This window comes from Homo sapiens, chromosome 7, assembly GCF_000001405.40.
Source record: "Homo sapiens chromosome 7, GRCh38.p14 Primary Assembly".
In the NCBI taxonomy this organism is placed as follows: Eukaryota; Metazoa; Chordata; class Mammalia; order Primates; family Hominidae; genus Homo; species Homo sapiens.
Genome location: NC_000007.14, coordinates 104,835,338 through 104,860,562, shown reverse-complemented (window position 1 = coordinate 104,860,562; position 25,225 = coordinate 104,835,338). Strand labels below are relative to the sequence as shown.

The 25,225-nt window shown below is 43.4% G+C and overlaps 1 protein-coding gene across 2 annotated transcripts in view; it reads right to left on the bottom strand.

Moving 5' to 3' along the window:
- The window catches only part of LHFPL3 (LHFPL tetraspan subfamily member 3), a 579,959-nt gene that overhangs the window by 47,999 nt on the left and 506,735 nt on the right, over nt 1–25,225 (bottom strand). Inside the window, exon 3 of one of the 2 annotated variants that reach the window (NM_001386065.1) lies at nt 15,134–15,181. The exons of the other annotated variant lie outside the window; for it this stretch is intronic. Coding sequence (NP_001372994.1) covers nt 15,165–15,181 — 17 coding nt within the window. The 3' untranslated portion in view covers nt 15,134–15,164. The remainder of the gene's footprint in view (nt 1–15,133; nt 15,182–25,225) is intronic. 2 annotated transcript variants of the gene reach the window in all.

Genomic DNA, 25,225 nt, shown 5'->3' with positions numbered 1-25,225 from the left:
GTATGAAAGGAATGGGTGTAGATCCTTAAGGGGCATCCCCAGGGCAGCCCTTGGAGGACTATCCTGGGAAACCTAGAGGTCTTTAGCTCTTTGCACATACAGTGAACCCCCAGGATGTTATGAGCTCCCTTTATTAGCGGTAAAGTGCTTGATCAGCCTTTGATAAACAGAGACTCAGCAAATCTTTAGTTGGTGCTCAGATTTAGAACAAATATATTGCTGGAAGTAACTACACCATGCAAGGTTCATTATTCAGCAGTGGATTATTTCATAATCAACCCTGCCTGCATTGGGCAGGGAGAGCCGAGTAAGTTTGCACAACAGGCCTGAGAGAAAAAGGCCATTTGAGGTATGCGTGTGTGTGTGTGTGTGTGTGTGTGTGTGGGTGGGTGTATGTGTGTGTGTATTTGGGGGGTGGTGGTAGAAGGATTAGAAGTGAAATTAAGTCCCAGTCCAACACTGAGTGGGGTTATGGGTCGTACTTTATTTCTTAAGCCAAGTGGTGAGTAAGCAGGTGTTTATCACATCATAGTTTATGCTTCTGAAAAAATGTTACTTTTAGAGTAGTTTTAGGTTTGCAGCAAAATTGAGCAGAAGGTACAGAGTTCCCTTACACAACTTGTCCCCAGGTATGCACTGTTTTCTGCACTATCAACATCTCCTACCAGTGATACATTTGTTACAATTGATAAACCTACATTGACACATCATTATCACCCAGAGTTTATAGTCCACATTAGAGTACACTTTTAGTATTATACATTCTATGGATTTATACAAATTGACAGATGTGTATCCACTATTATAGTATCCTAAGTAGTTTCATTGTTCTAAAAATCCTCTGTGGTCTCCCTATTCATACCTCTACTTATACTTTATTTATTTATTTATTTTGAGATGGGGTCTTCCTCTGTCACCCAGGCTGGAGTGTGGTGGTATGATCTCAGCTCACCGAAACCTCCGCCTTCCGGGTTCAAGTGATTCTCCTACCTCAGCCTCCCGAGTGTTTGGGACTACAGGCATGTGCCACCATGCCCTGCTAATTTTTGTGTTTTTGGTAGAGATGGGGTTTCACTATGTTGGCCAGGCTGGTCTTGAACTCCTGACCTCAAGTGATCCGCCTGCCTCAGCCTCCCAAAGTTCTGGGATTACAGGCATGAGCCACCATGCCTGGCCTACTTAATGCTTTTTTGAATGCAGAAAGTATTCATAATAATTTTTTTCAAAAAGAGTGACTAGGTAGGGTGGTAATAGAAATGTGAATAACAGATTTTGGTTTTTTGTTTTTTTTTTTTTGAGACAGTGTCTTACTCTGTTGCCCAGGCTGGAGTGCAGTGGTATGATCTTGGTTCACTACAACCTCCACTTCCTGGGTTCAAGTGATTCTCCTGCCTCAGCCTCCTGAGTAGCTGGGATTACAGGCACCTGCCAACACGCCTGGCTAATTTTTGTATTTTTTTTTAGTAGAGACTGGGTTTTGCCATGTTGGCCAGGCTGGTCTCGAACTCCTGACCTCAGGTGATCCACCTGCCTTGGCCTCCCAAAGTGCTAGGATTACAGGTGTGAGCCACTGTGCCCTGTCAACAGATTTTTTTTTTTTTTAAATAAAATTTTAGGAGTGAAAAGGTGAGAGAACAAGTAAAAGCTCTAGGTATGGCATGTGCAGGTAGTGGTCCTGCACTGTTATAGGATAAACACATTTATAGGATGATGGGAAGATGCAACTTGGGAGAAAGTACTCCAATGTGGAGAAAAAAAAGTAATTGACAGACTCGAACCTCTGGAGGGACCCAAGGGGAGGGGATTAAGAACTCAGGAGGAATAGTAGGCTCTGGGACAGAAAAATGACAGATACAGAGATGAGAATATAAAAGGTTGAAAATAAAGAAAAGATTTGAGGTGAGAGAAGGAATTTGGAGCTGTCATTGATGAGTTTTATCCCAGCAGGGGCTGTTGGGGTTCAGTGAGGGTGGAGGTGTGCTGAAGGCTTGGGCAAAGAGGAGGAGGTTTGGAGCCACTTCTGGAAGGGATGTGGGAGGGGTCTGCAAGAAATGAAAGAGGTACCAAGTGGCAGGGAGTGGGCAGCAGAGGCTAGAGGTATGTATGTAGATACATCACCATGTTTGGGGTCTTTCTCCAGCTATGCTCAGCTGCCTAGAAATGGAAGTGGAGAAGGCAGATAGGGTATGGGTGTGGTCCTGGATGGAGAGTTTTCAAGGTGGGAGAAAGCAACCTGGGGTGATGACAATGTCTGAGCAGGACAGGGCAGGACTGTCTGTCTATTATTTACCTTCGAGAGGGGATCTCCCAAGGTAGGTCTGCTCTTGAGCACCAAAGATTGAAAGGTGAGGAGGCCAGCAAGTTGTAGGTTGCAGTAAGATCTGAGCCACAGCCTGTGGCTCCCACAGCTTGTAACTGAGACCCTAGGTTTATTTTGCCCCAGGAATCCTCCAACAGTCCTGAAACACCTGTAATGTTAAATGGGCTGAGGAAAACTCTGTACACAGTTTTTATATTGATGGTGAGATACTCTGGTTTGCATTCAGCCTTCATAGCAGGAAGTAACCTGGGACACAGCTAGAATTTACCTACTTGACTTTAACTTGATTTTAACTGCCACAGAAGCTGCTGTGTAGTAATGATTGCAAACCACAAGCCCCGTTTCCTGTGGAATTTTCAGCTAGAAAACTCCCCGCTGCTCTTGTGCATAGTTTCAGTCTTTATTTATTAGGAATTACACCGAGGGTGCCAGTTTTGGGAGCTCAGTAAATTTTACCATCATCCAGAAAGGAGGAAAAAGACTAACATTAACACATCAAAACATGTTAAAAATTACAATTCTCCAGATTTCACGACAAAGAGGATTCAGTTTCAAATCTACTGCCCCCAGGAGTGGTTTTGGTTGAGTAAGAACAGTCAAATTGGCAGAGTTGTTCTGACATCACAATAATGCAACAAGGTTGGAAATTAATTTTCCTGGGAGCATTTTAGAAAGGCATGCCAATAGCCTCAAGGAAGTTGGGGGTTCTGAGTTCTAATTCTGAACTTTCTGTATAACTGGATCTCAGTAACTGGGAGCTTCTTGAGGCACACATTTATTCATCTTGTATCCCCAGAGCCTGGTATAAGGTCTGGCATATGTTGTATACTTCATGAATCCATAATATAGAATGAGTAAAATAATATAGAATGAATCACTATTGGAGTAGAAATTAGTTGGATGTATGATATTATATTTGCATTTGGTGGCATCATTGTGATATTATATTTGCATTTGGTAGCATCATTTCCTGCCCCGCCTTATTATGGAAAGGAAAACTGCCGTGGTAGCGGTGAATAAAAAGCCTTCGTTCCAGAGGCAGATTGCTGGCAGTGCGTCCTTGCTGCATCGCCTACTAGTCAAATAGGCTCACTGAGCTATGGTGTCCTCATGTGTACAATGAACGTCTATGAAATGGGAACAATCTGCCTGTACCTACTTCATAAGTTATCACGCGGGTGAAATGAGATAATATAGGCAAAGACCCTGGCATACAGCACAATCACAAAAATGCAAGGAAATTGGGATTCTGTTAGCTGTTATTATTACCTTTTTTGCTAAGCCTCTCAAATACTCACTTTTCATCCTATTCTTGCAGCCTGAGATTTTCTGATGTATACTGAACATGCAGGGTATCAATGCTCATAAAGAAGCTCTGAAGATCAGTTAATGTACAGAACCTAGCACAGTATCCAGGTCATAATACACCTTACTATAATACACAGTACCCAGGTCACAATACATGCTTACTGAAAAGGGGAATGTTGAAAGAAATTTGCTTTCAATTTCTGGCAATTAAAAAACATACAATTTCATTCTACTAAGCAAGTGATTTAAAGATTCTCACGTGTACAATATAATTTTTGGATCCTTAGATTTAATAATACACTGAAATTAGTGAAAGTGTCTAGAGGTTGGTGGTTCTCAAATTGCACCACATAAGAGCCTCCTGGTTAACTAAAATATTCTAGAGTTGGCCGGGCTCAGTGGCTCGTGCCTGTAATCCCAGCACTTTGGGAGGCTGAGGCAGGTGGATCACGAGGTCAGGAGTTTGAGACCAGCCTGACCAACATGGTGAAACGCTGTTTCTACTAAAAATACAAAAATTAGCTGGGTGTGGTGGCGGGTGCCTGTAATCCCGGCTACTCGGGAGGCTGAGGCAGGAGAATTGCTTGAATCCGGAGGCAGAGGTTGTGGTGAGCCAAGATGGCGCCACTGCTCTCCAGCCTGTGTGACAGAGCAAGACTCTGTCTCAAAAAAAAAAAAAAAAAAAAAAAAAAAATTTCCTGGGACAGAATCAGGAGATCTGGGCAGAGTGCAGGCATTGGCATTCTAAACCAATCCCCCAGATGGTTCTGATATTATACTTTGAGGCAGCTGACAGGCCTCCTTTGAGAAACTCCCGGGGTTACTGAAGAATGTGACAGATGCTCATCTAAATGCAGGAATCTCTTTATTCTTTTACTATTAGTTTTCCTTCTTTTTCTCACATGGGTAAAAGAATAACAGGACTGAAATTATCTTCAGTCATAGATGGGGTTGGGAGATTCTGGGCCAGGCAAGTTTTGGTGTTGTGCAAGCATGGACACGCTTAAAGGATTTGCTATAAAGATCTGGAGTTAATTTGGCTCATGCCTGTAATCCCAGCACATTGGCAGGCCAAGGCAGGCAGATCACTTGAGGTCAGGAGTTGGAGACCAGCCTGGGCAACAAGGTAAAACCCAGTCTCTATTTTAACTGGTGTGGTGGCGTGCACCTGTAATCCCAGCTACTCGTGAAGCTGAGGCAAGAGAATCACTTGAATCCAGGAGGTGGAGGTTGCAGTGAGCTGAGATTGTGCCACTGCACTCCAGACTGGGTGACAGAGCGAGGCTCCGACTAAAAAAAAAAAAAGAAAGAAAAATCTGGAGTTATTTGGATATCCATATGTCTGAAAAACATCCAGAAGGGTATTCTTTTGGATTGTTAAGCTAGGAGCATATCTGTTTCTCTAGTCTGACATTTCAGGAGGATTGTATTTTCTCCTCTGGATGAAAGGAAGAAATATTCTGCAACACCATTATACATAATTCAAAATCCAAGAGAGCTTAATGTGAAACATAAGAATGTGACTTGCAGTCACACTCCAAGTCCAAAAAGAATGCATCTTGATCAGCATTAAAAGTATATCACTGGAAAATAAATGGTAGGTAGGCCCATCAGTCTGCAGGGGTGATGTCCTGTGTATTTTGATAATGGATTTCTCTAAGGATTTAAGCTCCCCCAGTCTGGGCTCCACACTTAACCTCCAGGTGAGGTCATTGGTCTGTTCCATCATGACACGGTGTCTCACGGTATCGCTCTCCCCTCCTCACTAATCTGTTCTCATAAATGTCTTGAAACGGTCTTAAGATTCAATTATTAATGAGAACCAATTTAACAGGCTGCTGATGCCAGGAATGAAGTTTTTTCAATTTGCAAACCTGGGATAAGCTGATCAAGGAGAATGGTACAATTTCACAGGAAATACATTAAGCTTCCCACGCCAGACTAAAGAGCTTACTGAGGTTCACAAAAGTGCAGAGAAAGGTGTGTTTGGGTGGATACGTTAATAGTCAATGGAGAGTAATTATGAGAAATTATACGCCATTGCAGGCCTCACTTTATATATAGTTTTTTTTTGACCTGGGAGGAAGGGCCAAGGTGCTGTACTCTCTCTTTAAAAAATATCATTTAAAATGTAGCCCTGCACATTTTACTTAGACAAATGGTGCTACAGAAGTGATATTTTCTTAATTTTGCTTTATTCCCTTTTTTTCATACTGAAGCTATGAGAAATTACAAGCTTATTAATTGTCATTTGAGGTGCTAGACTTCAGACCGGAAGGTGATAAATGACCTAAATCATTTGTAATATGCTGGAAGTATGGACAATCTGTGTTGAGTATAAGAAGATACATTGTTGAAGAGAGTCTCTCATAATTAATGAATAGATCTCATATTGCCCTGTGCATATAGGAAGTTACCAGCTAGAGTATGCCATCCTGAAATACATTTCTTCAGTATAAGGATAATTTTGAGCTGATTATTTTGAGAAACTGCAGACACAGGAGAAGCTCTGAAGACAGGGTAGGAGTTCCCTTTTGTAAGGGAAATTCACATCCAGAAAGGAAATCTCCATTCATGAGGGTGAACTTCTGTATTGAGTAAAGAAGGATGACTCTAAGTCAGACTTATCAATGAAGAATGCACTCAAATATGGATAACAAACCTTCCACTTGTTTACCATGCTTTTCCTGGTCACCTCCCTCTAACTGGCCCTTGCAATACCCTCCTTTCTTTGTTTCAGCTGAAGATGGTATTTAAGCCTGAACTTAAAGCCACCTCTTTGAAATTTGCTCATGTCTCTGGGTATCTCCTATGTATACGTGAAGTTATGTTCTTAAACTTCTGTTTGTTTTTATCTTGTTAACCTGTCTTTTATTACAGGGGTTCATCCTAGCTAAGAACTCAAAAGGGTAAAAGGAGAATTGTTTTTCCTCCCCTGTGATGCTTGTCTAAATGCAAGCACCTCTTTGCTTTTTACTTTTAAGTTTCTTCCTTTTTTTCTCTGGTGGGTAAACAGATAATCAGATTGAAATTACCTACAGTCAGAAATTGGGAACTGTTTTCCCCCTACAGGATTAGAATTTCACCTCTAACATTGTATAGAGGCAAAGATGATTATCTCCAAGTCAAGGTGGAACTAGGCTGCAGATAGGACCAGCTACATAATTTGCAGATCCAGTGTTAAATGAAAATTGTTCAAAAAGCAGGAAAAAGTGCCATTAAAGGTACTAAAATACAAACATTTTCCCTTTTTCCTGTGGTCCCTCTCATCTTGTTGTGGGATTTTGAATATATACTTTTAAATGTCATTCTAAGTAAATAAAAATAAATCAAATTAGCACTAATTTACCATTCATTTTTATTTCATGCAATGCCAGTTTAAATGCAAATGTCAGAGCATTTAACTCATCTGTACAATCACTGAAGTCACGCAGTCTGCATTTTTGTCCCTGGAAGGTGCTGTGTGCTGGCCAGAAAAGGCAAAAACAGACATATTCCAGAAGGTTGGAAGGAGGGAGAGAAAGATCCCCCAGGCACAGAGTAGGCTCAAGTGAACTGGCTGAAAGCACTCCCTCTGGCATGGGGGTACTTAGGATCCTCACAGCCTGTCACTCAGGACTGATGGCTTTTTAGATTCTCTCTCCCACCAGCTGCTGGCCCAACTCATTGTCCCCTGACTCGAGGAACCTCCCCTTCTCACTGGTGGTATTCCCAACCCAGGGCAGACAAATGACCCCAAGGGTATTCTAACATCTCTACTAGGTAACTGGATCGAGGTGGGCAATAGGCTTGCTCCTCGTTGAGCTCTGGACTCTGTCCACTGTCCACCAGACACACTGCAGCACTGCCAGTCCTGGGCAGGGACAGACACTGCTATGCCCTGCCCCGAGATGCTTCAGGATGGGTACGTTCAACTATGATCCTCCCCTCTGTGCCCAAACTCCTGCCTCGGGCAGACGGTGGCAGTGGTTACTGGGCAGGCACAGGGAAAGCAGGCTGGTCAGGGCTCAGGGTTTCAGGGTTCAAGAGAGTGGGCTGAGAACCCATCTGCCGGAAGGTGGGGGTGGGACTGGGAAGAGGGTGGAGGGAGGAGGAGGCAGCAGGAAGCTGGCCCCATGAACAGTCTCCATGCCCCCATGCCCCATGCTCCAGTAGCTCACTGTCCCATCAGAGTTCACTTACAAAACACACATTCAAAGATACGACTATTAACAATGTCAAGACTGGGGCTGCAGAGCTTTAAACCAAAAGCATGGGAGCCCTTGTGAGCTTGGGTCCCTGTGGGACTGCACTGGTCATGTGGCCCTTGTGTAGGAGCAAAGAACATGGAGCTGGCCCTGGGGGCAGGAGCAAAGGACAGGTAAGTGAGATAAAAGTCAGAGCTTCCTGCCAGCATGGCCAGCCTGGCCTATTCCCAACTCCCAAACAGGATTCTTCCTAACCAACCAGGACAGCTCTGTGAAGACTGGCTTTGCTCTCTGGACAAAAGCCTTCTCTTCTCTTTACTACTGCCCTACTTTCAGCATGGCCCTCCTCCTCCACCTCCCTTTCCTGCCTAGTGTCCTGATCCCCACTGCTGGGGGCAGCAGGCTGCACATTTCTGGACACTGAGTAAGTTTAAAATTCAAATCATTTGTGGCTTCTCTTTGGATTTTCCTTTGCTGCTCTGCCCTTTCTTGTTTCCCTTCTCTCTCTGTGTCTGAGAGAGGGGAGATCTGCCTTTTAATTATGTCTTACAGTTAATTAAGGTGGCATTCCCTGACTGGTAGGATGCACATGGCTTCAGCAGTTAATGCTGGTGAGGCTCTTTGAGCTCTTTGGGGTGTGTGTGAGGGTTGGGGGGTATCTGCTTTCCAGGATGTGGGCAGCCTAAGAAAAATGAGAGGGAGAGGGAAAAAAGTTGGTGGAAGTAACAGAAGCATGGAAAAGGTGGGAAAAGGAATGTGGGTAAATGGATAAGGAAAGGAGACAGAAGGGAGGAGGAAGGAATGATGGAAGGACCCAGCTTTTCTCCTGCTCTGCCCACGTGGTTTGAAAATAGAGGCTTGAGCCTGAGAAAGCTACGGCCCAAGCAGATGGTATCTTTGCAGTGCTGGTGCCTGGGCAATGTGGATCTTAGGTCACGGGTGACAAGGAGCTTCAGCGCCAAGTCTCTTACTTTGCTCTTGTCAAATTCTTGAAAATGTGACTCTGTATCTTTAGTTCTCTTGGGGTACATCCAAAGAAATCAGTACCCCATGAAGGATTAGATAGGGGAGATAAGTGATACAGAAGAAGAATCTCTTCTGGAGCTCCCAGTAGGCCCAGAGCTGTGTTGAGGAGAGTTGGGACTTTATATTCACAACAATCTTCACAAATATGAACTTAATTTTTCCAGGGTGACCAATGCGTTGGCCGTATAAGCCAAGTATACTCATAACCTCAGATTTTGAAAGCCATTTTTTTCCCTAGCAGTTTCATAATCAGCTATCCTCTTGAGTCCTATTGGGAAAGCATCACTAAATCTCCAACTCTCCAAGAAGGAAGGGGCAACTTGCTCTCTGATGGACTCACAGCCTAGAGATACCTCATGGCTTCTTGGTTGAGCCCAGCCAACCAGCCCAGAGACTCAGACTCCCAAGATGTATCCCCATGCTCAGAAAACACCCAGCCACAGGCTTCCTGTTCTTTCTTTTCTCTCACTAATTCATATTTCTTTCCAGAGAAATATTTCTTTTTTGAGTTATGATGCAGATACTACTGAGATGTTCCTTACAAGGGGAGCAAAAACTAATGTGTCAAAGTAAACATTACAATCCCATCTGAAGACTTGGAACACTATGATATACTTGCTGAGATCTCTTTCATGACTGGCAAGACATGAGAACAATATTTATCTCTAAGAGAAGGTAAAATTACTAGCAAAGGTGGTGCTATTCCTTCTAGAGCAGAATCTGTCAAAGTGGTGGCCTGTGGGTCTCCCACATCAGAAGTACCTGGAATGATGGTCAAAAAGCAGATTTATGCACGCCACTGCAGAACTTCTAAATCTCTGTGGGTGAGGGGTCAGAACCTACATTTTAAATACTGAGAGTTTTACTCTTCTATCTATAGTCATTTGAGAATCAGTGTTTGGAGCAGTGGCTCTCAAACCTTGGCGGGGGTGGGGGGGTATCTCAGAATCACCCAGAGGGCTTATGGAATACAGATTCCTGGGGCTCACCTCCACAGTTTCTGATTTAGCAGGTCTGGGGTTTGAAAACTTGCGTTTCTAATAAGTTTCTGGGCAATGCTGCTGGTCTGGAGACTACATTTTGAGAACCACTAGTTTGGAACAATTAAAACAATTTAGTTTCATGTCAGTCAGGTGTAACCTACTTCCTGTCCTGGGGAAGCCCTCTGCATCAGGGTGTTGGAGGTAGTGGTGGTGCTGGGCTTGTTTTCTGTCTGTCTAGGAGGTGGATGTCTGGGGAAGCAGTTGTTGGGGCTCAGAAAACAACACCCAAAATGAAGCCCTCAGAAGCAGGCTCAGAAGCAAAAGATCTTCTCTGACCTTCTCTTGCTCTCCTGTCTCCCAGTCCCATTCTCCCCCAAGGCTAGCCTTAGAAACGATAACGGCAAAAACCGCAATTACTTTTATTTATTTATTTTTTGTGACGGAGTTTCACTCTTGTTGCCCAGGCTGGAGTGCAATGGTGTGATCTCGGCTCACCGCAACCTCTGCCTCCCAGGTTCAAGTGATTCTCCTGCCTCAGCCTCCTGAGTAGCTGGGATTACAGGCATGTGCCACCACGCCTGGCTAATTTTGTATTTTTAGTAGAGACGGGGCTTCTCCATGTTGGTCAGGCTGGTCACGAACTCCCAACCTCAAGTGATCCGCCCACCTTGGCCTCCCAAACTGCTGGGATTACAGGCGTGAGCCACCGCGCCCGGCCTAAAAAAACCACAATTACTTTTGCACGAACCTAATAGAATTCCTCTTCCCCAAGGCTGGTCACAGAAACCAGAACCCTTTTTTTCCAAAGCCAGCCATAACATCTAAATATATTACTCTAACTTTCCCTCTGCTCTATCTGTATAAAAACTGGCCATAAAGGAATTTTCTGATCCACCTTGTTTGACTATGGGCCATAAGGCCCCCATTCCAGGGAGAGTCCTGCCCCACATCCAGAAGGAAGGAATGCTGGCTCAGAGAGGCCAAGAAGAATCTAGACAGAGAGGCCCTGCTGGGTTTCCCCACTCAGTCTATTAGCAGTAGATCCTAACCTTTTTGTCCAATCACATTTCTATATGGCTGTCCCTACTTTGTTGAACCTCTGCATAAAAATGGGCAATTTCTCCTGAATCTTTGGATCTTCATTCTGAAGGCTCCCAGGTATACATGTTAAATAAATTTATATGCCTTTTCTCTTATTAATTAATCTGCCGCATGTCACTGACTTTTCAGTGAACCTTAAGTGGGCCAAGGGCCTTGGCCCCCACACAGTGCAGGGCCACCCAGCCCCCAGGAGCCAGGCTGGTCTGTGCAGGGCCCTGAGGGAGCAAATTAATGTGTGTCTCTGTCAGATGGCTAGGCTCTGTTGGCTGGTTCTTCAGACTCTCGGGAGCTCAGTTAGTTTTGGGGTTTCCTCTATGGCAAGACATGAAGGCCTGGCCAAATCTAGAGCTTCTAGTAGTTCTCAGAACTAAGCTGGAGTAACTAGAAGCAGAAAAGAAGGCAGAGTTGGCTGGGCACAGTGGCTCACACCTGTAATCCCAGAACTTCCGGAGGCCGAAGTGGGTGGATGGCTTGAGCCCAGGAGTTCAAGACCAGCCTGGGCAACACAGTGAAACCCCAACTCTACTAAAAGTACAAAAATTAGCCGGGTGTGGTAGCACATGCCTGTAGTCCCAGCTACTTGGGTGGGAGGCTGAGGTGGGAGGATTGCTTGACTCCAGAGGTGGAAGTTGCAGTGAGTTGAGATCACGCCACTGCACTCCAGCCTGGCAATCTGACAAACCGGGTGACAGAGTGAGATTTTGTCTACAACAACAACAACAACAACAAAAAAAAAACCAAAAAAACAAAAAAAGGCAGAGTTCTCATCATCACCATGGCTAACTAGGAAGCCAGCTTGGCATATTCGCATGCTGATATGCCACCAGGCCTCCAGGCTGATATTTTAGGATCTCAGGCCATAGATGTGCCCCTTCTTCTGAAATATTTAGAAAGTATTTCAGGCTGAGGCTTGCACAGACAGTGGGGTGCTTTGCTGTGGCTCAGGGGCAGCCCATAGGACTCCTTTCCTCCTCCTTTCCCCTTCTCCTTTTCCCTTCCTCTCCCTCCCTCCCTTTCCTCAGACACCTGCAGTTTCCAATTTGGTCACTAGAGGGCTCAGCAGGACAATGATTATCCTAGGAAGGGGCAAAGAAGGACCTGCAAGAAGCCTGAAACCCACCCCCAACTCCAAGCTGGCTGTTTTTTGGGGGCTCTCCAGCAAAGGGAGAACTAAGGCAAAGAGCTCGTGACTCTTGCCTGCCTGCCCATCATCATCAGCGGGAAGACCAACTAGTCTTGTGTGGCTGCCCAAGAATGCCATTTTCCTCTTCAAACAAACAGTGCTACCGTTGTCACAGGAGAAGGAATGGTAACACCAGGGCAGTGATAGTTGCCAAGAAGGGCCTATAGTCCCCTTCCATTATCTCCAACAGCTGCTTCCCTCAAATGACATGGTGGATTGTCATCTTTCAATCTCATGTGAAGTGCCATGCAGAGGCGGCATCAAGAGTCCTCTTGTACAACCCTTCCAGCCAGATGAGCTGCCTCTCATTCCCTTCTCTGCCAAAATTCTGGAGCTGAAATTCTATCCTGGTAATACTTTCTGAGGCCATAGCTCTTTGTGGTGCTATTTGTCCAGCGCATTAGAACATAAGAAGTACACAAGAAATGATCCACTTCTGTGATTTTCCCTATTCTACCATATCCTGTCCTGCTCCTCCCACCAGATTTCGAATCAGTGTCAGATTCAGGGAAGGCTGCTGCAGACTAGATGTGTTATTTTGGAAAAAGTTGTGTATTCGGCTAAACTTGATATCTGAAAACCCAAATGGACCAAAATGTTAAATCAAGTGATGATTTTTTGCTCTCTAAAAAAGATTCATCATAGCCGGTCACAGTGGCTCACGCCTGTAATCCCAGCACTTTGGGAGGCCAAGGCAGGCGGATCACTTGAGGTCAGGAGTTCGATACCAGGCTGGCCAACATGGCGAAATCTCGTCTCTATTAAAAATACAAAACATTAGCTGGGCATGGTTGCATGTAGCTGTAGTCCCAGTTACTCAGGAGGCTGAGGCAGGAGAATCGCTCAAACCTGGGAGTCGGAGGTTGCAGTGAGCTGAGATCGTGCCACTGCACTCCAGTCTGGGCAACAGAGCAAGACTCCGTCTCCAAGAAAAAAAATTCACCATAAAAATGCCATTTACTTACCATGGAAAGAGAAAGCTCTGTTAAAAAAACGACATTGCATATTTGGTTAATAACTATAATTCCATAATTTTATGTAAAGGAAGGATGTATCTCAAAACTCTGCTGAAAGCTGGCATATGTGGGTTTCTATTCTTGCCTTATTGGCTTTTGAATTATTCTCTGACTGCCTCAGAGACTTCCCTGGCCTTGTTAACTTGGTCAGCAATACACTGAAAAGGAGAGAATGTAACCTTGTTCACCTGTTGGGTCTGCTCAAGTTCCAGAGCCCTGATCAGTGATATCTCAGGAAGAAGAGAAGTACATACCAGCTGGATAACCCCAAACTACTGAAATTGGCAGATTTGAGATGACCAAACCGGAGCTTGCCACATCTATCTGAGTTTGATAGGTCTGTGTAAAGGGCACAGGCTGTGTGCTCCTCATCTGCACTTTCTTCTTCCTGCCCTTGTTCTTCTTCAGTTAGTTACAGAAATTCACAAGGCCCTTGCTCCTGGAGGCTGTCCCCATTTGCAAAGCCTGACTATAACTTTTTTCATAATCCTACAGTGGAAAATGAATATTGCTGAGAGGAAACTGCATGAAAAACAGCCTGAGGTTACTCAGCAAACTTAGCATCATGTACTTTTGAAATCAGCTGCTTTCAAACTCATTTTACAGATGAGGAGCCCAAGAGAGGCAGAGCAACTTTCTCAAGCTCATCCAGATACTTCATAGCAGAGCCAGGACAGGGACCTGGGGTCCTTTTCGGGATGTAGCCTCCTTCACTTTTAAAAGGCTCTCCTGGTAGTGTGCAAGAGATTCTCTTCCAGAGAGAAAGGAACTGGGACATAACACAAAAAGATGCTTTGATGGGAAGAGGAGGATAAAGTTTTAATCCAGGCTCTGCCACCATCTTGGGCAAGTTACTTTCTCTCTTGAAACCTTGGCCATTTTCTATGAATTAAGGGATCTGGAGTCAAGGCTCTATCATCTCTAAGGACTCATCAGCTCTAGAATTCTGTTTCTAAACGATGGGTTGGGTCTCAACACTGCAGGGGTGTGGGCAGTGCTCAGTCATATCTCATGAGAGCCCCTCTAATTTTACATTCTTGTCATCTCTTCCAACTAACTTGGGAAGTTTCCTGCAAACTCACATTCAACACACAACAGAAACTTCAGTGAAATTGAGAACAAGAGGCAGTTCCAACCCTGCAATCACAGTCAGGATCATATTTTAAATGTTCCAGGTACGCTGTTAGGGACAAATCCCTCCTTCCCAATTTATTCTGTAAATCCAGTTTATCACATATTGAAATCACTCAGTTTGGATATATAGGTAATGGAAAATCAAGGAACACCAGAAGGAATTGTGTGTGTGCCCATGTGTGTGTATGTGTGAACAGTACAATGAAGGGCCACTAGAGTCCATATCTGGCTTGGAACCCATTATTCTTTTTCCTTCGTAGTCACAGTTTTGTTCCACATATATACGTGTTTCCATCGCATACATATGTGTACACAGGAAAATAATACATGAGAAGATGGCCTCTTTTCTCCGTGGCTCATTTTAGCCCTGTTACTTGGCACAATGGTGTTTGCTTTCACTTAGCATTCACTCTATGGAGACGCCCACAGCCGTAATCCACCAAAGGGTGGTGGCCCCAGAGAACACTGCATAGCAAAGGACAAGGTTTGTACAGAGATGCCCACATGCGTGGTTCACACTGTAGTAGTATGTTGCAGTGAGAGTGTGGACACATGCCTAGAATCCTAAAAGCTGATCATCCAAGTGCTCATTGTCAGAGAACAATAACCAAACACATCCCCCAGGACTCCCCAGCTCCTTCCCAGGGAGGTGCCAGGCTGACAGCTGCAAGTGCCAGGGATTGTGGGAGAGAGAAGTAAAAATATAAAATCAGGAACAAAGACAGAAGATTTATGGCTTGAAAGCGGCAGTTTCATGCGGCTCAAGTGCTAAGCGCTGAAAGCGGGAATCAGAAAACAGCGGAGAAAACATGCGGGAACAGAAGGCAGAAGCGCACAAAACAGAGCTGAACCCACAAAGCCATGCTCACACTTACATGGTGTGGTCTCACACTACCTTAGTTTGCCTTAAGCATTTCCATCATCTGAGAGTGTGGGAGGAAAAAACAGAACGGTTAAAGGTAAAATAAGAGCTCACACTTCATTTTTTAAAGATTAAAACTGACAACGTCATTCCTGGCTATTCCATTGACGGTGTGCAGAGACATACTTGGTGATTCTCTGCACATACTTGAGGAAAATCACAGTCCTGAGAGCCAGACTGCCTGGTTCATACTTTAGTCCTGCTACTTGCTGGCTGTAGGACCTGGGCAAGTGTCTTACCTTCCCGTGCTGTGGTTTCCTAACGTAAAACGGGCCAATAGTAGCACTTACCTCACCATGTTTTGGTGCGGATGGAATGAATGACCACATGGGAAATACTTAGAGGCCGGGTGCGGTGGCTTACGCCTGTAATCCCAACACTTTGGGAGGCTAAGGCAGGCGGATCACTTGAGGTCAGGAGTTCGAGATTAGCCTGACCAACATGGCAAAACCCCATTTCTACTAAAAATACAAAATTTAGCTGGGTGTAGTGGTGAGCGCCTGTAATCCCTGCTACATGGGAGTCTGAGGCAGGGAGAATTGCTTGAACCTGGAAGGCAAATGTTGCAATGAGCTGAGATTGTGCCACTGCACTCCAGCCTGGGTGACAGCAAAATTGCGTCTCAAAAAAGAAAGAAAAGAAATACTTAGAATATCTCTATTATTCTACAAGGAAAGAATATTCCTAGTCAATACCAAGCATTATCTAAGAGTTAGACATCATTGTTGTTTTTATTTTATCTTTGGTTTCCTCAGGCAATACCACCCAAAGGAGAGGAAAAAGAAGTGAAAGTCAAGGACTTAGAGAGAATTTTAGATGCTCAATAAGAAAAATAATCAAGGGAAAAAGACAAAAGTTAAAAACACATGGATAGAGCAATAGTTCCAAGTGTCGTTAAAATTCTTTGAGGACATCATTTCACATTCTGGATTATCCTAAAGCAATTCAGAGTAACTTTAAAAGAAAGATAAGTAAAAATCAATTGTACACACACAGATCAATTAGAACTCCAAAGCCTGGTTCACGCTGGACGCTTCAAGGCTATGTACACATCCTCAGGTATTGCCCTGCCATGCTGTTGTCTTGCATTTTCTCAATTGCCTCCATCTGGTGCCTCACAGAGAACTGCTGAAAGGTGCCAGTGCATGGATGGGGATTTGGGTGGTGGTGTAAATACCAACTGGTTGATCAAGTCATGCAGGCGGGTGAACTTCTCTCCCCCATTCTTTCCCAGAACCATTTCATTAGCTTTGCCCTCACTTGGCAGGATATTGTGGTCAAACAGGGAAGGATGGGACACTTAGTCTAAAAGGTACCTGCAAGCAAAATGCCCTGTGGATGACCTGGGCTTGAGTCTGCCTTTGCTGACCATGCTCTGAGTCCCTGGTTGGTCAGCACCAGGGCCCAGTTAGTTCCTCACTTTTCCTCAATTTGAATCCCACTCTTTCCACCTCCCAGTGGTGCATTTGCTCATGTAGATGGGCCTATTGAGACAGATCTTATTTAAAAACATGTAGCATTCCATGAAACTCAGATTAATGGCTTGTCCTCTCCTTCTGGACACCCAATTCCTTCCCCTCCAATACCTCCTATCTGACTGATAGCTTCCCATTTCCTGCTTCCCATCTGGCCCTCTTCTTACTTCTCTCTTTTGGTCACTTGTATTCATCACTGGCCCGAGATAGTTTTCAGAAGAGAAGGTACAGGCCCTCTCCTCTAAGTTTCTTTCTGCTCCTTCTCACTTATTCAAAGGCTTGAAAGACTGTGTTGGCTCTTTTCAGGATGTGAGTATTTGGATGAAGTGACTCAATTGATTATATGAAGTTGGGTGTCAGAAACACCATTTCAAATGAGAAATGAAAAGCGACCTTGGAAGTTTTTAGCTGATGGAATACAGAGAGGAAGAATGTTGAGGAACACATCAAAGTCCATTGGGGAGCCTTGCCTAACTTTCCAGAAAGGGTGAGTCACAGGCTGCCTTGGCTCCCTGAAACACAGAGGGCAGCAATGTGCTCAGCTTCCATCGAGGTGCATTCTTCCACCACGGAGGTGGAAGTGTGCGTGTTTATCTGTGGTCCCACACTGACGTGCTCTGAGAAGACCTCTGCTTTGAGCAGGGTTTTAACCTAGATCATTTAAAAAATATTTAAATGCACTCCAGAGTTGACTTCCCCAGCTCAGTAGCTGCCAGCTGGGCTGCAGGCTCCCAGAGTCTGGGCCTGGGTTTTAATTTCTTGGGCAGCCTCTCACTATGTCAAGTACAGCTTGCCCCACGCTGCAGGAAGGGGTTAGGGCTGCCAGGAATGGCAGCTTCATTTGTCTGGCAGGGAGGTTGGCTTTTTAAAGACATGGTCTTAGATCTTTCCAATCAGAGGTACTGTTTCAAGGACACAGATTATAGTGCTCATGCTCTGGAGCACAGAGAGACACCTTGATCTGTTCAACAACTTTTTGAAGGGATGCTATTTATGTCATCAGAATGTTGCTCAGGCAAAAGTGCAAACAGGCAAAAGAGCAGAAGATACTTAGAGAAGCAAAGACATTTTCAACCAGAAAAAGTAGGTATGTTGAATTGGTGTTTGCAGAAATTGAGACATTTAAATGGAATTATTAAGCAATTAATCAAATTATAACTAGGCTAGGAAATACAAGATGATTTCAAAGGAAATCATTTCAAATAAGTCATTATCTTGCTTTGGAATCATTATCTGGCATTATCAACTTGCATTTGGTTCCACAACAGATGAAGAAGGTCATTATTTTGACAGAAGAGATAGAGGCAGTTACGCTTTTTGTGTTGAGGAGACAAGCAATGCCACATCCCCTGGACTGTCAGTGAGCTCATCAGCCTGCAGGACCCCATCTGGAGGGCTGGAGTTCTCAATGCAGTGAAGACAGCCATGACATTATCATCCCATATACTGTGAGTTTTAGTCAAGTGTTCAATGGCAGTCTCTTCTAAGGTCTGCTCTGGGCTCCAGGGCCCAGTCCCCTCCCCAGGCAGGCCATGTAGATTCCTAGGTGTAAGCTGTCAGGCTAGGTTTTGGTGGGTAGCCCATGTAGGAAAAAGCCTCCCCCCACCCCCCCACCCCCGCAAAAGGTTCTACCGCTAGAGGAGGAGCTGATGCCTGAGTAACTTTGAGAGTATTTTGCCGTGCTATGCTTAACTCATCAAAATGACTGATTTTTTTTTTTTTTAAAGGATTGTGTGTGTGTGTGAGGAGGTTGATCAGAACAGACATGCTGGTTATGTTGGGAACAGTTTAGAAACTGATTTTAATCCTCTATAAAAGTGCTGTCTAGGACAGATGAAATATTCATGGTGGGGGAAGGTAGGGAGCATAGAGAGAGAGGAGGAGAGGAGGGGGAGGATGAGTTCAAGAAAGGGCAGGACAGGAAGTGGCTCCCACTGGATCTGCACCATGATAAATGAAGCCTCATCCGGCCTCTTTTATCTCTCCTTTTGCTTTCTCTGGTGTCAGGAGTGGAGAAACTTATTTGCCCTGAGACCTCCTGAAACAATAGAGGGGCAATGAGGACCACATCAATAAAGCATCATTCTTTTGAGGGAGTATAACATGCCCTACTCTCTTTTTGAATTAGTAAGGGGAACATAGAACTCAAATAAATGGGTGCAAAAGTTATTTTAAAGATCCGTCCAGTTTTATATCATAGCTAGTAAAAAGAGGCAGTTGAGAGGAGAGAAGAGAGGTAGAGAGATAGCCAACAGGTAGTGAGATTCACAGACGGAGCAAAGAAGGATTAAAAATGAAAGCTCTGCACACACAAAGTCATACATGGGAAAGCAGACACGTAATGGCTTAGGGACAGCCACACACAGGTACCCTAAAAGACACACACACACACACACACACACACACACACACACCCCACATAATGCATCGTAATACATATTGGCTTGAATCAGTATCATTGTTTGATCATTCAATTTTCCACAGACACAAACGAGGATGCAATGTCCTTATCCATGCTCCTAGGATGGAGAAAATAAATCGAGGTGAAGATGGGCTTTATGCAGAACGTGGACTGCAGGCCACTGAGGAAGGTTCTGTCTTAGCTACATAGTCATGTCTCATGAAAAACCTCTTCTGGGTCTCCCTGACCCCTGAAAATGATCCCTGGGATCATAGGGGTGATATTCCAATTAAGGCAATGGGACGTACTTTTTGTGCATTTTTCTATAAGATGGGAGAGGATTTCTTAGAGAAAAGGAAGATCAATGCCCCTGCCAAAAGGCAGCCGAGGCTTGCTGGCACCATGCATGTGTGGGTGAAGCATACTTTCCTCTGTGCTATGAGCCAACGGACACGACTTTTACCATTATTGCTCCTACTGGAGAACTTTGTTCACAGGACTCACCAAATATCAAAATCACTCATCATGGCGGCTCAACTAATGAGCTGAGATTTCATTTCATAAGCTTACTTATTATACTCGAAACATTAAAAAAAAGACAACCTTTATGTTTCTATTTGATTTATTCAAACTTGAATGAACTGTGGTCTCATTCATTTAGAATGTTAGAAAAACCATGAAAATGTTCTTCTGAGTATTTTTTATTTGGGTGATTTTCACTAAACCCTGGGAATTTGGGTTCTATAGTTTAATTTCCCACTTCCTAGGTAGTAGTAGATAATAGGTGGAATGCTGAGTATTGACTGATTTTCCTTCAAATGCATCACCTTCTGGATATTTGGTGTTCAGTGGGGGGAGGGTAGCAATAAAAAGGACAGAAATGAAAGAACCTGGGAGTGGTAGCTCCTGCCCGTAATCCCAGTACTTCAGGAGGCTGAGGTAGGAGGATCACTTGAGCTCAGGAGTTCAAGACCAGCCTAGGCAACAAGGCCCTGGTCTCTACAAAAAAAAAAAAAAAAAAAAAAAAAAAAAGGAAAAGAAAATTAGCATGGTGGCATGTGCCAGTAGTCCCAGCTACTCCGGAGGCTGAGGCTGAGGCTTGAACCTGAGGGTGTAATAGTCGCGATTGTGCCGCTGCACTCCAGCCTCGGTGACAGAGTGAGACCTTGTCTCAAAAGGAGAAAAAAAAAAAAAAAAAGAAAACCCACAAGAAAAGACAGAAAAAAGAAATGAGAATCTTCAAGAAAATGATTTTTAATTGAGAAGTCTTTCAGAGAAGGAATACAAGATAGTATTGTAATTTAGTGTTAGAGTCAAAGAAGTTTAGGGCTGGATGTGAACTTGGTAATTTTTCCAGTCCAAATGTTATAGATTTGTTTCCTAATCTATAAAATGAAGCAAACTGACTGGATAATAATGATAATATTAACATCATTAATAATTATACTTAATAATTATTGATTATAATTGTCAATTAATCTTAATATGTATAATTTTAATGATCAATTAATAATATTAATTATCCAGTCAACTTGCTTCATTTTGAGATTAGGAAACAAAAACTCAGAGGACAAGTGAGAGCCTGTTAGGGACAGACTTAGTGGTAGACCTCCTGACTCATGATCCAGGACCACCCCACCATACTGCTTCCCATTTTCAATAGAAAAACAAAGTTTTCTAAGCAATACACCCATCAGGTAATATGAGTAATATAGCCAACCTACCCTCTGAGTGCAGAGAGACTTAATATCTTCACAAGCAAGTGTTACAGGTGCGAGCCTCTGTGGACAGCCAGAAATGTTAATTTAATTTTTTTTCTTTCTTTTTTTTCTTTTTTTAAGGTAGAGTCTTGCTCTGTTGCCCAGGCTAGAGTGCAGTGGCACGATCTTGGCTCACTGGAACCTCCACTTCCTGGATTCAAATGACTCTTGTGCCTCAGCCTCCCAAGTAGCTGGGATTACAGGTGTTTGCCACCTTGCCTGGTTAATTTTTTGTATTTCTAGTAGAGAGGGGGGTTTTGCCATATTGGCCAGGCTGGTCTCGAACTCCTGACCTCAAGTGATCTGCCTGCCTCGGCCTCCGAATATGCTGAGATTACAGGCATGAGCCACCACGCTTGGCCCCCAAATTATTAATTTTATAATATAAAAGAAATTCAGGTTTCCAATCTGCCATATAGGTGGAAACCCTCAGGATCTCAGGAATGGAGTTCCATTGGCTGAAATGCACTTTATACACCTTAGCTGGCCTTGAAGGTTAGTTAAGCTCCCTGTTTTACAATCTTACCAATTTAACACTGCTATCCTGTCCTCCCTCTGGGGTGACAGGTGGCTAAAACCACATTTAGATTTTCCTCTGAGGGGAAATTTCTCTCTCCTTGACGGTCTCACTGTTCTGTGTCTCACAGCCTACTAGGAACCTGCAGGGAGCTCCCCTTGGGAGTGTCTCTTCTCTGCCTACCTGCTTTCATCTACTCTGGGGTCAGAATATTCTCTTTCTTTAAGAATTCATTCCCTGGTGGAAATGTAAGCATGCTAGAATTTATTCTGGGCTCTTACAGCATTGTTTCAGTTTTTGCTTTAGACATTATTAAAAGTGACTTTTAAAAACATGAAATGAGTTCTGGTATTAACTACATTATTTTGGTTAAAAAGATGAAGCAATGTTTCTCTGTACTTGCACATTCCAACACAGCAGTCCCTAGACACATGTGGTTATTTAAATTAATTAAAATAAAACACAAAAATTCAGTTCCTCAATTTCACTAGACACATTTCAAGCACTCAAAAGCCACATGTGTCTATGGTATGAAATTGGACAGAGCAGATAAAGAACATTTCCGTCACTGTTTTGCAAGACGGTGCTGCTTTATAACACCTATTATGCTTTAGTCAAATTTGAAAGCAAGCTCTGTACTTTGTTCTACAAGTCAGATTCTGGAAAAGATACAATGAAACATAAATATGTCAGCTACAGTCAAAACTCATCTGTAAAATAATTAATAAACAATACAGTTGGAATTCTGGGTGTCTTTATACTCAAGTCAGCCACATACAGCCTTATCACTTAATTTAGATTCTAATGAAATCAGACTTCATTTAAATGGAGATAGAGCTGACTTTCACTACAGTGGTAGCTCTTCTCAATGGAGGTGTATATGTAGGGTTAGGAGCAGAGATGGAAGTACACAGCAAAATGTATCAGAAACACCTGAGAACTTGCACAGAACTAGCCATTTCCTCCCTCCCCAGATAGATTAGAATTAGTTAGAGAGGGCAGGTGTGGCACAAAGGACTTCTGTCTTTTGAAAAAGTTCCTCAAATGGTTCTCATATATCTTTACCAGCCGTATCCCTCCAGTTGAGAACCAAAAGGATGGCTAATTGCAGGATGGCCAGGGTCATTGAGGTAAGTTATACCCGTAAGTCCTTATGTAGGTTAAGCTCTGATTACTGGAGCTGGTTTCATGAGCAATTCCATACTAAGTCTAAGTAGAGTGGGTAAGACTTCTGGTTAACAAGGTTATAATTGTTTGTTAATATAACATGTTTATATAGTTTCTGAAGGTTATATTGAAGGCATGCTAGCATTAAACATTTATTCGTTCAAGAATCACTTATTGAACGTCTAATAATGTCTATCAAACACCGTGATAAGTATTGTGGAATATGGTAAAATAAGTAAGCAATGGCACTGGAATGTGGCAGCTAAATTCCTGTGTGGGCTTTGAGTTAGACTGAGTTTAAAGTTGGCACTTTCTATAGGGTGCAGTGTATACTGCCCAGGTGATGGGTGCACCAAAATCTCACAAATCACCACTAAAGAACTTACTCATGTAACCAAACACCACCTGTTCCTCAATAACCTATGGAAATAAAAATAAAAAAAAATAAAGTTGGTGCTTTCTAGCTGTGTGTCCTCAGGTGAACTACTCAACCTCCTCAAGGCTCAGTTTCTTGCATTAAATTGGGGATAATGTTAGCACTTACTTTATGGGATTATTAATGAGGATTGAATAATATAAAATACACAGGGAAGATTTAGTACAATTTCGTGACTATAGCATTAAAGGGTATATAGTTTAGTGCGGAAGATAAACCTACTTAAGCTACACTCCTCCTCATTGCAGATGGCTGGTTCAATTGATAATGAAAAGGTGCTAAAGAAGTCAAAGGTGTAGGTATGATCCCTGTGTGGTCCAATCAGCTCTAGGGTAGATCAGACGTCTCTGCTCTTAGCCCAGCCATTCCACAAATGTGGCCAGCAGGGAATCAGGGTAATGGCACATGGACAATCAAACATGAGAGCTGAGAGTGATCCAGGATGAAGTCATCCAAGTTCCTTCCTTTAGAGACAAGTAGACTAAGTTGCAAAATCGAAGTACCTTGCCAAACTTTAAACACAACCCATCGGTGGCAGATATGAAGCCAGATCTCAGGGTTTCTGATTCCCTGCCCAATGTTCATTGTGCACACACTGAATATTTCCTAATGGAACGGAGATCTTCATCACCATGAAATATTAGAAAAGATCCTCATCTTACTATTATCTGGCCGTGGGATTATCTTCAAACACATTTTCATTAGCTTCAGAACCCAGATACAAGACTGGGTGTAATTTTCATTTGTCGTCAGAGATAAACTGACATCCTACAAGCCATGGCTCCTAGGAGCAACTCTGTGTAGACTAACAAACCAAAATAGTCAAATATTCTTGAGATCCAGTTTGTTGTACACCCCAAAAGTTAACCTGGCTCATCTCTGCTCAGCAGGGGTAAATCCTTCAGCTCTGGAATATCAGAATGGGTAGCAGAGCATAGTGAACTTATAAAAAACAGAGTGCCAGAATGTAGGACCCAACCTTCATGGCACCGTAGCCCTGATATGATCTTTCCTGGACTTCAATTCTCAGGGCAGATGGTCAACTTTTGCTTCCATCACTGCTTTCATCCTGTTACTTCCTAAGAGCACAAATGGTAAAAGAACAGTAGGCTTTTTAGATGAGAGTTTGATGGCATCTTGGTAGTTCTTCCTGCGTGGCTGCGTGGGCTAGCTTCTTCCAAAGACAATAAGTGCCTTAGCATATGGGGCCAGCACGCCCAGTGACAATAGAAGAAAGCAACAAGACAGCCACGGAGTACCTTTAAAAATGTAAATCAGATGTCCCTCCATGTTCACAAGCCTCCAGTGGCTCCCATCACAGTTAGAGTAAAATCCAAGCTCCTTTCCCTGACATATACAGCCTAAAGGATTGGGCTCTTGTCTACCTCTCCAGCTCCATTTTACACAACTCTCTGCCAACCAGTCAATCTGGGCTCCTTCCTGATTCTCCTTCCCATCTTAGGATCATTGCATATGCTCTTCACTTCTCCTAGAAATCTTTGTTATCATTGTGGTCAGTTTCTCTGCATGCCAGCTTAAATATCAGATCCTCGGAGGCCTTCCCTGAACATACAACCAAGGGTAGCTACTTGGTCACTACTTAGCACACTACCCAGGATAAATTCTCTGCATAGCACTTTATACTTTCTAATATTTTCTTGCCTTTTACGTTTATTTATTTTCTGTCTCCTCCCATTTGGGGAAAGGGGAGGGAGAGCATTAGGACAAATACCTAATGCATGCGGGGCTTAAAACCTTGGTGACAGGTTCATAAGTGCAGCAAACCACCATAGCACATGTATACCTATGTAACAAACCTGCACGTTCTGCACATGTATCACAGAACTTAAAGTAAAAAAAAATAATAATAATTTAACGTGTAGATCAATATGAAACAATGGTCAAATACATCATGTGAAGTGAGCCATTTTCAATATGAAGAATTTGATACAATTTTTGTAAAAACAGATTCTATGTGTGTTTATATATATTTGTATTCATAGAGAATAAATTACAAATGTCTTCATCTCAAAAAAAAAAAAAGAAAACAAAGTTCTGGAGAACAGGAATTTTGTCTACTTAGTTTGCCATCTCCTAGAACTGTGCCTAGCACATAGTAGGTGCTCAATAATATTTACTGAGTGAAATGAATAGATGAAGGAGTGACTGCCACTCCAGGATCATAGCTCATCTAAGCTTACCTTCTTGCTGGTGCTGTTGTGCCTACAGAGAATCTCCTAGGCTCTGGACATTACCTGCCTAGATGCAAAGTGTAGGGCTCCATGAAGA